At 41.2% G+C, this 14,667-nt stretch overlaps 1 long non-coding RNA gene across 1 annotated transcript, besides 1 other annotated feature; it reads left to right on the top strand.

The window, feature by feature from the left end:
* The first annotated feature begins 149 nt into the window (after positions 1-149).
* LOC105379227 (uncharacterized) lies at positions 150-14,410 on the top strand. The gene is made up of 3 exons (XR_002956680.2): positions 150-231; positions 5,564-5,680; positions 14,337-14,410. It is a non-coding gene; the product is annotated as an uncharacterized LOC105379227 (long non-coding RNA).
* Positions 4,123-4,182: an enhancer, noted in NCBI's record as "active region_26980". NCBI's record gives its function as "activates an Ori minimal core promoter by ATAC-STARR-seq in GM12878 lymphoblastoid cells {active_cell/tissue: GM12878}" and the evidence as "EXISTENCE:reporter gene assay evidence [ECO:0000049][PMID:35858748]".
* Positions 14,411-14,667: the final 257 nt, after the last annotated feature.

Below are 14,667 nucleotides of genomic sequence, written 5' to 3'. Positions count from 1 at the left end.
CCACACGCCGGGCAGGCGCAGTGAGCCGGCGTGCGCGGAACGCCAGCGCCGCAGTCCACAGGGGGAGGGAGGACGAACAAGAGGGAGGCGCGCCGGTGAGAAGACGGGGCGTGGCCGGCCGTAGGCGGAGCTAGCGCGGGTTGAAGTTGCGCAAGGATCTAGTCCAGTCACTGGAGGGTAGCACCGGCACGTGTGTTCCCGTCAGTGTTTCCTGAGAAGGAAAAAAGTAGGGTGAGTGGGAAGATATCATAGAGAAAGATGTTTTCGACCATAAAAAATAATAAAACAATTCACATTTTCCATAAGGAGTTTCCTAAAACTTCCACTCTGGGCAAGAAAAGAAAATGGGTCGGGACTTAGTGTCCCACTATAAACAATTAGAAAACGGAACAAAATATAGGAGACACCTATTCAGACATTGGACAACGGACAGCTGTGGACTGTTTTACCTGAGAGAAAAGAAATAAAAGGAGCCGTATATCATCCTGCCCTTTTGCCCAGAGGCGATTTCCAGTCTGTGGTGCGATGAAAGGAAATCATATGGAAACCTAGGATCTCCTGGGTTGAAAAGACAGAGATTGGAGTTGACGAAATTGGGGTAGGCCAAGTCGGTTGGAATTTGTAGGGCAGAATTCTGGAGAGGAGGGAATTACATGGAAAAAGAGCTTCAGAAATCTGCTTAGGAGTACCTTGAATCTTTAACTGAATAAAAAACGTGAAACTCCACAAGGCCAGGAAAGAACAATTACTGGGGAGCAGTACACCAAACAATGGTGAGAGGTCACACAGAACTGGGAATCATTTGAGCTCCCAGCAACCAGAGTGAAGAGATTATTGAATACCATGGAACACGCAATAGAAACCTCAGATGTGAAACTGCCATTGCAAAATTATCATTGAGACAGTGAAAGAGATCAGACCTAACCAACTCCATCTTGCTTTTAACCTCCAGGCTATCCTTATTCATTCCTAGGCGTAGGCCAAACTAACACTGGGAGGAACTTAGTGTATAGCTTATAGTTTAAAACAAAGGTGATAGCCCTTTCTCAAAATAAACCCTCTTCTTGAGACTAGACTGCTTTTGTAGGACTAGTAAATTAGCCGAAAGATTAGAAATTATGATTTAGGACTCATGCAGCTGAAGGCTACAAGATTCTAACCCTCTCCAAATTGCTCCTGGGGATAATATCACTATTGTAAAATCTAAGATCAGTGCTTGAGATATTTTGCAGGCCCTGCACTTGATGGATCAGCTGGCACCTCCCAGATTGATAAACTGACTCACCTGATCTTGGATAAACTAGCTCATCTGATTTTGTGTCCCCCACGGGAGGAACTGACTCAGTGCAAGAGGACAGCATCGACTCCCTATGATTTCATCTCCTACCCAACCAGTCACCACTCCCATCTCACTGGCTTCTCACCCACCCAATTATCCTTAAAAACTCTGATCCCCAAATGCTCAGGGAGACTGATTTGATTAATAAAACTCAGGTCTCCTGCACTGCCAGCTCTGCATGAATTGCTCTTTATTGCAATTCCCCTGTCTTGATAAATCGACTCTGTCTAGGCAGTAGGCAAGATGAACCTTTTGGGTGGTTACGAAAGTGTCATGCCTTAGTGAGATATAATAACCGTAGACTGCAGGACCCAGAACATAAACTACTGTAGATTCTTCAAAAGCCTTAAAACAAGCCCTGAAAGGATCAAACTGCTCTGTAAGTAACCTAATTACCTGTAAGAACAAATTCTAAAACTCTCTGAAAGACTACAGTAAAATCCAGGATTCAACAACATTAAATTCAAAATGTGAGACATCCAGTCAAAAATTGAAAGACACGCAGCACTTGGGGATGCTGAGGCGGGAGGATTGCTTGAGCCCAGGAGTTTGAGGCTGCAGTGACCTATGATTGCACCACCACAACCCAGCCTGGGTGACAGGGTAAGACTCTGTCTCAAAAGAGAGAGAGAGAGACCAAGTGGTAAGAAAATATCTCACGAAGTTCATAGAAACAAACCCCAAAATGATAAAAATGATGGAATTAACAGACAAGGATTTTAAACACCTGTTATGAATATGCTCAAAGATTTAAAGGAAGACATGATAGGAGAGAAACTGGAAAGATTTTTGAAAAATCAAATTTCTGGATGGAGGTGAAAAATATTTGAAATAAAAATTTCTTTGGATGGGATTGCTAGCGCATTAAGCAATGCAGAGAAAAAGGTAAATAAATTCAAAGATATAGCAACAGAAACAATACAAAATGACACACACACACACAGAAAAAAGATGAATACAGCTTCAGTAACCACTTAAAGAGGCTTAATACTTCAGGACCACTTGAAGAGGCTTAATACTATTGACCTAAAAGGTAGAAGCTGAGGCAAAATTAATATAACTAGAGAGTTTATTTGGTCCAAGTTTGAGGATTGCAACCCAGGAGCATAGAATTGAAGTTGTGCTGAATCCATCTACTCAGAAGATATGCCAGTTTGGAAGTTAAGTGAACACTTAGTAACCAATCATAATTGTCTTAAGTCTTGCCCATTCTAGATTATTTGCTTTGTTAAATAGGCAATTGAGATAGGGCATAATTCCAATAACAATAATCTTTGATGGGGTTAAGTAGCCCTTTCTAACCATACATACCTCCATCTCAGCTTCTATCTCAAGAAACAACTCTTTTGACTTTGTTTCTTTGACTTCTAGAACTAGTGCAGCAGCATCAAGAAATTAGACCTGCCATAAATAAAAAGACCCAGAAGAAGATACTCTAATAAGTAGTGAGGCTTTTGTCCATGAAGCCTATGATGAGCAGCTGTGCTGGGGAAACTCCAAGAAGTTTCTCTGAGGAAATTGGATTGTGAGACACAGTTAAAGAATGTCCCTTCTGAAAAATCCTAGCTAGGTGAAAATAGTCGAAGTCAGTCAAAAAATAGTAAAAAAAAAAAAAAAAAAAAAATACAAGCTAGATGAAAATAGCTACATGAAAATTACTATCGTGCAGTAACTTTTTTTGTCTTTAGACTCTGGTTTGAGCTATTAAAGGTTGAACAAAGTGAAACATGCATGAAATAACCGAAAAGGAAGATGAGGCAAAATTAATATAAGTAGAGTTTATCTGGGCCAAGTTTGAGGATTGCAATTGTAGATTCAAGTTGCCCTGGGTATACTCAGATCAGTAGAAGCTACAAGTGAATTTTTAAAGGAAAGAGGCAGTTGCTGGGTTGTTTATCAAGAATTTACTGTAAGGCCAGGCGTGATGGCCCACACCTGTAATCCCAGCAGTTTGCCAGGCTGAGGTGCGAGGACCACTTAAGCTCAGGACCAACCTGGCCACATGGTGAAACCTCATCTCTACAGAAGGAAGGAAGGAAGGGAAGGAGGGAGGGAGGGAAGGAAAGAAAAAGAAAGACAGGCAATCAACAAAAGAAATAAGTAAAATGCTTATAGTATGGAGAAAAGTAAAACAGGAAAAGGGAATGGGAGGGTGCCCAGGTATGGAGGGGGTTACAATTTTAAATAGAATCGTTAGGGAAGACCTCTCTAATGATGTGCCATTTGTGTAAAGACTTGAAGAGGCAAGGGAGTAAACTGAGTATATATGGGAGAAGAGAAGTTTAGGCAGAGTAAACAAGTGAAAAGATCCTGAGCTGGGAGTGTACCCAAAATGTTTAAGAAATATCACTGTGTTCAGTACTTTCTTATGACTGTGTGACATCAGTATGCAGGAGACCTAAATGTTTTTATTTATTTATTTATTTATTTATTTTTTGAGACAGAGTCTCGCTCTGTAGCCCAGGCTGGAGTGCAATGGCGCTATCTTGGCTCACTGCAACCTCAGCCTCCTGGGTTCAAGAGATTCTCATGCCTCAGCCTCCCAAGTAGCTGGGATTACAGGCGCCTGCCACCACACCTGGGTAATTTTTGTATTTTTAGTAGAGGTGGGATTTCACCATGTTGGCCAAGCGAAACTCTCAAACTCCTGATCTCAGGTGACCTACCCGCCTTGGCCTCCCAAAGTGCTGGGATTACAGGCATGAGCCACCTTGCCTGGCCGATGTTTTTAAATGTTGACTCTGCTGTAACTTGCCACATAACACCAAAGGGGAAATCCCAATGACTTTAGCACCTCCTGTTTAAAATAAAATGTGTGCCATAGTTGAACAGTTAAAGAGAAAGCTTCCCTGAGTATTTCAGCTATGCAACAGTCTAAAAGAGAAGTTCGAGAATTGGTTATTCTCTATTCACCCCAGTGGAAAAATGTACCTACCCTTCCTCTAGCTTCAGTGTCCTGGGATTAGTCAGCTGTCAGTGAAGATCAATGTATTGTTAGACAGCAGGGTTAGTAAATTACTCTAGGCTGCACTAAATATGTGACTTTCACATAGCAAAATGCCTTTTGTTTCTAAGCCGTCTCCCATTGCTGCCTGATGCCACGTGTTAGATAATTCCATATGTTTAGGTCTGTATTTGAGCAACCTGCTCTGTTCTCTTGGTCTCTGGTATCTGTTCTTATACCCTTCCCACACTGCTTTCTATTACTCAGCTCTGCAATATGTCTTCATATCTTATAAAACAAGTTCCTCCTCTTTACTCTTCTTTTTCAATACTGACTTAGCTATTTGTGGATATTTAATCTTTCATGTATACTTTAGGACAAATTTTTTGCTCTTCAAAAAATCCAATCCAATCCAATCCAAAAAATTCATTAAGATTGAATTCACTCGATTGATTTGAGGAGAAATGACATATTAATTTATCCTCTTGTAATATAGAACTGCTAATTCAGATTGTCTTTTATGATGATCTTTAACATTTCACAATTTTCTCCATAGATATCTTGTACATTCGTAACCAAGAAATCCTAGATACATTATGAGTTTTTTCCCATTATGAATGGTAAATTATTTTATACCATTACATAAAATATTATTGATTTTTAAGTTAAATAAACAAAAGCAAAGAAATAAAAGACAACCAGATTAGAAACAAAGAGCCAGGCGCAGTGGCTCACACCTGTAATCCCAGTGCTTTGGGAGGCTGAGGAGGGTGGATCACCTGAGGTTAGGAGTTCGAGACCAGCCTGGCCAACATGGTGAAACCCTGTCTCTACTAAAAATACAAAAATTAGCCAGGCTTGGTGGTGCACACCTGGAGTCCAAGCTACTCGGGAGGCTAAGGCAGGAGAATCGCTTGAACCTGGGAGGCGGTGGTTGCAGTGATGCTAGATAGTGCCAGTGCACTCCAGCCTGGGTGACAGAGAGACACTCCATCTCAAAAATGAATAAATAAATGAATTAATTAAATAAACATAATACATTGGCCCTATCACCCAGCAATTCCAGTCCTAGGTATTCACTCAGGAGGAGTGAAAGTGAATGTCCAGGTGGTGGCTTGGACGTGGATATTTCCAGCAGCATTTTTCAAAATAACTGATAAATGAAATTAACTCAAATCTCCATCAACAAGTGAATGGATAACCAGAATGTGATGTATCCCTGTAATGGCATAATACTCCTCATATAATAATAAGCCTTTTTTTTTTTTTTTTTTTTTCAGAAACAAAACCTCATTCTGTCACACAGGCTGGAATGCAATGGCAGGATGGTGGCTGCCTTGACCTCTGGGACTCAGGTGATCCTCCCACCTCAGCCACTCAAGTAGCTGGGACTACAGGTACATGCCACCATGTCCAGCTAATTTTTGTATTTTTTGTAGAGACAGGGTTTCACCATGTTGCCCAGGGTGGTCTTGCACTCCTGAGCTCAAATGATCCACCTGGCCCAGCCTCCCAAAGTGCTAGGATTACAGGTGTGAGCTACCGTGCCCAGTCAATAATAAACTATTGATACATGCAATAGTATGGATGAATTTGGAAAAATCTTGAGTGAAAGAAGCCAGATGCAAAAGAAGACATACTCTAATTCCACTTATATGAAGTTCAAGAATAGGCCAAACTAATCTATGATAATAGAAATTCACAATAGTGACTGCTTCAGCTTGGGATTAGGGGTTGAGGATTAACTTGAATGGTACACAAGGGAAGTTTCCAGGTCCTGGAAATATTCTATGTGTTAATTGGGATAGTGATTATGTGATGTATATATTTATCAAAACACATTGAATTATGCATGTAAGATCTACGCATTTCACTCTATGTAACCTTGCTTTTGATGAAAAAGAAATTAAAATTTTGAAGACAAAAAATTGGTTTTTAATTTCTTTCTTTTTCTTTTTCTTCTTCTTCTTTTTTTTTTTTTTTTTTTTTGAGATGGAGTCTTGCTCTGTTGCCCAGGCTGGAGTGCAGTGGCACAATCTCGGCTCACTGCAACCTCCTCCTCCCAGGTTCAAGCTATTCTCCCACCTCAGCCTCCCAAGTAACTGGGATTACAGGTGTGCACCACCATGCCCAGCTAATTTTTGTATTTTTAGTAGATACAGGGTTTCACCATGTTGGCCAGGCTGGTCTCAAACTCCTGATGGTTTTTAATTTCTAAACATTCTTTTTTTATTAATCCCCAGAACATTCTGGATAATTTCTAAACTTTCTTGTAAATTTTAATAGTTTTATTATTCTGTTGCTTTTTTTCTAAAATTATCAAATTCTGCAAATAATCAGTTTTAGCCCTGCCCTTCCTTATACCCCTTATATCTCTTTCTTTTCTTATTGCATTGGCCAGGAGTCTTTGTAATATATTAATAGTAATGGTGCTGTGCTGATTTCATGGGAAATGTGTATAAAGCTTTTCTATTTAGTTTAATGGTTTCTGCAAGTTACAAAGTCTTTTCCTTCAGTCATTTAAAAACATTATTTTCTTCCTGTATCCTATGTTTATTTGAAAAGTGTAATGTTGATATGATTCTTGCTCGTCTATGGATAATCTGTTCTTTCTCTCTGGAGTCTGCAAATTTTCTTTTTGTCATTGATGTTCTTAAATTTCATTGTAATAGATCTAGGTGAGGATTCTCCTTTTTTTCTATAATAAAAAACATAATTTTTTGTATTTTTAGTAGAGATGGGGTTTCACCATGTTGGCTAGGCTGGTCTTGAACTCCTGACCTCAGGTGATCCACCTGCCTTGGCATCCCAAAGTGCTGGGATTACAGGCGTGAACCACCATGCCGGCCACCTCATTTTAATTTAATCACTTCTTTAAAGACCTAATCTCCTGCCAACTGAAGAATGACAAGGTTCATAAGTATAGAAAAGAGAGCTTTATTTCTCATAAAGGGTTGGGGTTATGCATCCTTGCAGGCTGCCATTCTGATAGGCTGGGAAGTGTAGCCTCCAGCCAGAAGCCAGAAATAGGCACCTTAAGGGAAGGAAGCATAAGACAGGAATGTATGCTGAGCATAGTGGCCAAATATACATATTTAATAAGTAATAGGAGGAATCATTAATGTTTATGAAAGGAGAAGCATGCATGTGCACTTGAGCTTCATACCTCTTCATGGGTCACATGTACACAAATGGCAGCATTAGCATAATCTGAGTGTGGAGTTTTCAGCCTTCTGACATCAGAAGGTGAAGCAGAGGACCGAAAATCCTCTGTGCATTCTCTATAGACTGGCCAGAGCATCTCCATCATCAACGGTCTCTGATAAGGAAGGTATGCATTGTGAAACTGGCGAGCTGTCATGTCGAAACTGTAAAGAGGGAAGGGAAGTCTCGTCATGGCCTCAGACAATTGGCTAATAGTGATAATAGAGTAAGTCATCGGCTCTTGTCTTCCACAGCTGATTCCTGTTTACTTCTTAGGAAAGATTCTGGTTAAAGGTTAATAAGGAAGGGGCAGACTGAGGCATGTCTGACCTCCTGTCCTGAGATGACCTGGAACTCTGTTTTAAGGTTTCTCTGGGGTCTTCTTGGCTGGAATGGGGTCCATTCAGAAGTTTGGGGGGTTTAGGAATTTTTTTTTTATTTTTATTTTATTTTTTTTTGAGACAGAGCCTCACTTTGTCACCCAGGCTGGAGTGCAGTTGCACAATCTTGGCTCACAGCAACCTTCACCTCCCGGGTTCAAACAATTCTCCTGCCTCTGCCTCCTGAGTAGCTGGGATTACAGGTGTGTACCACCAAGCCTAGGTAATTTTTTTTGTATTTTTAGTAGAGGTAGGTTTGGCCATGTTGCCCAGGCTGGTCTCAAATGCCTGACCTCAGGTGATCCGCCTGCCTTGGCCTCCGAAAGTGCTAAGATCACAGGTGTGAGCTGCCACACGTGGCCTTAGGGGATTTAGGATTTTATTTTTATTTCTCACTCTAAATATGGGTACATTCTGAGGTACTGGGGGTTAGGTCTTCAACACATAAATTTAGGGGGACACAACTCACCCCATTACATTTGGCATTTACATTCTATTGCAGAGCTATCATTTCACATTTGATTTAGTTTATTTCTCATGTTTTGGCTTATTACCTCGCTGGCTTAGTTTCAACAGCCCCTTATCATAACTTCTCATAGCTTCTGTGGTTCACTATCATAAATCCCTTGCCAACATCCCAACCTTTTTCCCTGCGAAAACCCGCCATGATCATAAATCTATTTTCCTTCTTCATGCTTTCTCTGAGTTCTGAGAGAGGCCTTAGAGATCATACAATGGCCAGATCAGTGATGTGAAGAATTAATGACCACCTGCTCCACCTGGGTGCTAATCCTCCTTGGCAGCCGTCATATTTCTCTCCTTGTCTTGTCTTCCCTCTCTCCACAACTTCTGCAGCAAACCTTCTTTGCTCTCACCTCCAACCTTCCATCTCCTTTCCCATGTACTCTCACCAGACAACCTTGCCTCCTGCTTCACAAAGAAAACAGTTTTAGCTTTTTACTGCCAAGTCTACATGCTCACATCTGGTCGTGTCTTTGTTTATTATGTTGATTTTTGTTCATCATACATTTCTTACATTAATTTTGATGTACTAAGAGATTGATGCCTGTAATCCTAGCACTTTGGGAGGCCGAGGCGGGAGGATCGCTAAAGGCCAGGGGTTTCGGACCAGCCTGGCCAAGATGGCGAAATTCCTTCTCTACTAAAAATACAAAAATTAGCTGGCATGGTGGAGCATGCTTGTAATCCCAGCTACTTGGGAGACTGAGGCACAAGAATCGCTTGAACCTGGGAGGCAGACGTTGCAGTGAGCTGAGATCGCACCCCTGCACTCCAGCCTGGGCGACAGAGCAAGATGCTGTCTCAAAAAAAAAAATTACACTAAAGTGTTTATCTTAATTACTGATTTTGGGGGGATGCCTCCTTAAATTTTGTGCCTAAAGTGAGTGCCTCCGACGCCTCACCTGAGTCCTAGCCCCGCCCCACCTGAGTCCTAGCCCCGCCCCTTTCAGCCACTCCTCCCTCCCACCTTCATTTTCTGGTTTGATACCACCACTCGCTCCCTCAATTCCCCTCCTCTCCTACCTTCCCAGCAATCTTGAATTTTGTATTATCCAATCTCTGTTCTGTATCTTCAGTGTTTTCCTCATCAGTAGACCTTTCCCTTTGGCATTTAAATGAGCTTGACTCAAAATTTTCCAACTTAAATAGCCCTCCAGCCAAACAAAACACCTCCTTCAACCTCAGAATTCCTATGGCTGCCGCACTATCTTTTCTCCCGCCCCCTTTGGTGCTAAACTTCTTGAAAGAATTGTCGCTTTTTTCACACATCTACCCACTATTCAACCTACCCTAATTTCTCTTCCACCCCCATGGTCCACTGACATCTACTTCTCCACTGAGGTCACTAGTTATCCCCGTGTGGTTGAACCCAGTAGCCTCTTATCAAAGCTCATCTGACTTGATCCTTCAACAGCATCCAGCGTTGCTAACTTTCTTTGTTTGTTTTTGTTTTTTGAGACGGAGTCTTGCTCTGTCGCCCAGGCTGGAGTGCAGTGGCGCTATCTCGGCTCACTGCAAGCTCCGCCTCCCGGGTTCACGCTATTCTCCTGCCTCAGCCTCCCAAGTAGCTCGGACTACAGGCGCCCACCACCACGCCTGGCTAATTTTTTGTATTTTTTAGTAGAGACGGGGTTTCACCTAGTTAGCCAGGATGGTCTCCATCTCCTGACCTCGTGAACCGCCCACCTCAGCCTCCCAAAGTGCTTGGGTTACAGGCGTGAGCCACCACGCCCGGCTGACTATTCTTTATTTACTGCAACACTCTTTTCCTTTGGTCTCCATGACAGCACACTCGCCTGCTTCCTTCCTTTTTCTCTGGCCATTTCTTCTCAATCTCCCTGATCAGTTCCCCCTCTTATATCCAATCATTTAATTCCGGAATTCCTTCAGGACTTGGATCTTAGGCCCTGTTCATAACTTTTATATTCTTTTCAAAGTATAGATTCTTGCTCTAGGTATTCTATGCATTCATCTAGCTTTATTTACCATCCAGTAGCCAATGACTCCAAAACCTGTTTCTACCCACGATCTTAACTCAGAGCACCAGAGCCACATAACGACTTGCCTATTCACAAACACCACAAACTTGACATATCCAAGGTGAAATCATCATCTTCCTCCCCAAACCAGCCACTTCTCTAGTGTTTCTGTTTTTCTTTTTTCTTTTTGTTTTTTTTTGTTTGTTTGTTTGAGGCAGGATGTCCCTCTGTCGCCCAGGCTGGAAGTGCAGTAGCGCAATGATTGCTCAAGTGACCCTCCTACCTCAGCCTCCCGACTAGCTGGGACTACAACCGCTCACCACCACACCCGGCTGATTTTTGTATTTTTTAGTAGAGGCAGGGTTTTGCCATATTGCCCAGGCTGGTCTCCAGCTCCTGGACTGAAGCAATCCTCCCACTTCGATCTCCCAAGGTATTGGGATTACAGGCGTGAACCACCATGCCCAGAATGGTGTTTCTTTTCTCAGTAAATAGCTCTACAATCCACGCAGTTGATTGGGCCAAAAATATGGGCATCACTTTTGACTTTTTTAAATCTTTTCCTTCCTTAATGCCTTCAGGATGATCTGTGTTATATTTTTGTCTCCTGATTTAGCACAAACTACCTTTTTTCTCTTTCCATTCTTCTTTTAGTACCTCCACACACCATGCCGGTTCCCATTTCAGAACTTTTGTTAGCTAATTTCATTCATTGTTTAGGTCAGAGATTCAATTTCCCTTCCTCCAGGATTTTCCCCCCAAACTCCCAGATTTTGTTACATCTCACCCTTTGTGGAATCTGCCTCCTTTCTTGGCATGTTTTCTTTTGTTTAGGATAAAGATTTGAAAAAAAGAAGAAAAGACCAGTGGCAATGGTTCACACCTGTAATCCCAGCACTTTGGGAGGCTGAGGCGAGAGGATAACTTGAAGCCAAGAGTTTGAGACCAGCCCGGACATCATAGTGAGACTCCATCTCTACAAAAAATAAAGAGGAAAAAATACAATTAAAATTTGATTGGGAATAAAATAGGCCTTAAATATATGTGGCTTCAGTGAGGTAGAAGTTAACATATTTCTCTCTGAGGTTAATAGAAAGATGTCGAGGACTTAGGGCTTTTCTGTCTTGTAGCTTTATCATTCCTAGTATGCTGTCCTCATTCCCATGTTCCAGACACCTCCCCATTTCACACACCGTTCAGCCAATGGAAAGACAGAAACAGTAAAAGGGAGGCTATGTATTTCTCTATAACTTCTTCTCACATCCTGAAGTCATGCATATTAATTCTGCTTATATCTTGCCCTTTGGTACTTAGTTATAGGACCACACATTAGTTGCAAAATTAGACTGGTGAAAATGTTGTCTTGTTTCTGTGGACAATTACTTATGAACAATTGAAAGTCTATCACTATTGAAGAAGGGAAGATCAAATATTAGGACCACTAACAGTCTCTGCCACAATTCTGGTGACCCCACATATCCACACATACCGTTTTTCCTACACATAAAACATACTTGCCCTTTCCCTAATGGAGGCAACCCCCAAGTCTCATTCTAAGCATTACACGATTGTTTAAGAACATTTGTGTGACCTGGTACAAATCATGCCCTATCTAATCTTGATCACAAAAACAAACAGGATCCTCTGCTCTAATCACAGCACCAGAATGTGTAGCCTTGCTGACAAGCACAACCCGCTGATAGGAAGGTATACACATATCCAGACCCTTTCATTAAGAATATCATCCACCAAGGCCTGGCGTGGTGGCTCACGCTTGTAATCCTAGCACTTTGGGAGGCTGAGGTGGGCGGATCACCTGAGGTCAGGAGCTCAAGACCAGTCTGACCAACAAGGTGAAACTCCGTTTCTATTAAAAATACAAAAATTAGCTAACGTGGTGGTGCATGCCTATAATTCCAGCTACTTGAGAGACTGAGGCAGGAGAATCAGTTGAACCCAGGAGGTGGAGATTGCAGTGAGCCGAGATTACGCCACTGCACTCCAGCCTGGGTGACAGAATGAGACTCTGTCTCAAAAAAAAAAAAAAAAAAAAAAAAAATTCACCAAAAAAAAGAAAAGAAAAAGAAAGAAAACCAAAATGAAACAAAAAAAGAAAAGAAAAAAAAAACAGAAAAAAGAAAAGAAAAAACAAAAATAAAAACTTAAAAAATATGTCATCCATCAAAGTTCATTTTGCACATATTTATGTGTCTTTGTTTAAATAAACATGCTTAAGCCTGTATGTTAAAAATTTCAGATTTGTTTTGAAATTGAGTGGAAGAAACTCAATTTTTTTTGGCATAAAAAAGAAAATGGACTTTCTAGTATGAAGAATTCCAGATTTTTTTTTACCATTTGAATTATAAATGATTAATTTGAGGCTTATCATAATTTGACTCACTCAGACTGAGAAATAAGCAAGGTAAAGCAGGCCGGCGTGGTGGCTCATGCCTGTAATCCCAGTACTTTGGGAAGCCGAGGTGGGTGGATCACCTGAGGTCCAGAATTTGAGGAAAGCCTGGCCAACATAGTGAAACCCTGTCTCTACTAAAAACACAAAAATTAGCCAGGTGTGGTGAGACGTGCCTGTATATGGGAGGCTGAGGAAGGAGAATTGCTGAAACCCAGGAGACGGAGGTTGCAGTGAGCTGAGATTGCGCCACTGCACTCCAGCCTGGGCGGCCTGGGCAACCTGGGCGACCTGACCCACAGAGCCAGACTCCATCTCAAAGAAAACAAAAAAAAAAGCAAGCAAGCATTAGAAATAGATTAATTTAAAAATACGTGCAATTTCTATTTGTATGTTTGTTCAGCTTCCTAACGTCTTCTGTTGTCTCAGAAACTCATAAAGTTGTTTTGGAAAAAATTATACAATTTTTCTGATTGCAAAAGTCATGCATGTTCAATTGAGAAAATTAAGAAAATGAGGGATGTCTTCCATCAAGCTTTTTAATAGCAACAGAACCAGATATCAGGCTGTAAAATAAGTTAGTTTCTTCAAATGCCACCAGAGGGTACTCAAACGAAACATTGCTCTATCTGGAGTGCAAGAAACAGGCTTCTATGCTGTTGAAGGAGCTCACCGGCTTTCAGTTTTAGTTTAGTTTGACAACTGATAAGGAGGAATTAAAAATTCCTAGTCAGTATAACATGTATTTGAATAAATGTCCAATTTTTGAAAAGGTTCAGCAGTATCCTTTTTGGAACCTAATTACACATTCCTGTAGATAGCAAACATTTATCAAATACATATTGGTATTATGATGGGTGCCATGGATAAAATTAGAGTAAAACTTGATTCTGACATTTCAGGATTCATATTTTCTCTGGGGGAAGAGGCATATGTAAACAAATGGATTAGAATCCAATGTGTTGTGCACCACACTAAAAATCTTTTGAAGGACAGGATTAATTCTGCTAAAGGCAGATGAATCAAAAGAATGCTTCCCAGAGGAACTGGACCTTACAGAAGTAGGCAGTTTTGGACTTCCAGGCTAATGTAGTGAATTGAACATATCCCTTTAATTTTTCTCTCTCTTGAACCCCATAAAAATAGGAGTTGTTTTGTTTTGAGACCTAAACCCACAAGGACTAGAAGAATAGGAGAGGAGACAACAGCTATGACATTTTAGAAGCTGCAAAACCAGTGGATCAGTGCAAAGTGATTTAACAAACTTGTTTCTCATAACAATATGAGAAAACAAAATCCCAAGCTGCCAGGGGGAAAGCTGAGAACAAACCACACTTATACCGCAAAATCTTCAAAGGTTGTTAACAACAATTTACTGTATATTTCGAAATATCTAACAGTGAAATTGAAATGTTCCTAACACAAAGAAATGACAGATCCTTCAGGTGATGGGTATCCCAGTTATCCTGATTGGATCATTACACATTGTATCCTTGTAACAAAATATGACATATACCCAATAAATGTGTACAACTCTTATATGTCCATAATAAAACAGGAGATCTAACACAGGACAGAGGCAGAGAGAATCCCCAAGATGATGGAGGAAGATCGCAGCATGACAGCTGTGCTCCAGGGGACAGTTGTGAGGATCGGAGCAGCGCAATTCAAGAGACAGGCACGTTGAATGCTGTTACCACCAAGATGTTGAATGCTATTGCATACTCTATTTAACAGGTGAACAGAAAGTCCAGTGAATCTAGTCAGATTTTGATGTGTGATTACTTTGCCTTTTTTTTTTTTTTTTTGAGACGGAGTCTTCCTGTCACTCAGGCTGGACTGCAGTGGCACAATCTCGGCTCACTGCAACCTCCACCTCCCAGGTTCAA

This window comes from Homo sapiens, chromosome 8, assembly GCF_000001405.40.
Source record: "Homo sapiens chromosome 8, GRCh38.p14 Primary Assembly".
Lineage (NCBI taxonomy): Eukaryota > Metazoa > Chordata > Mammalia > Primates > Hominidae > Homo > Homo sapiens.
This window is presented reverse-complemented; position numbering and strand designations above follow the sequence as displayed.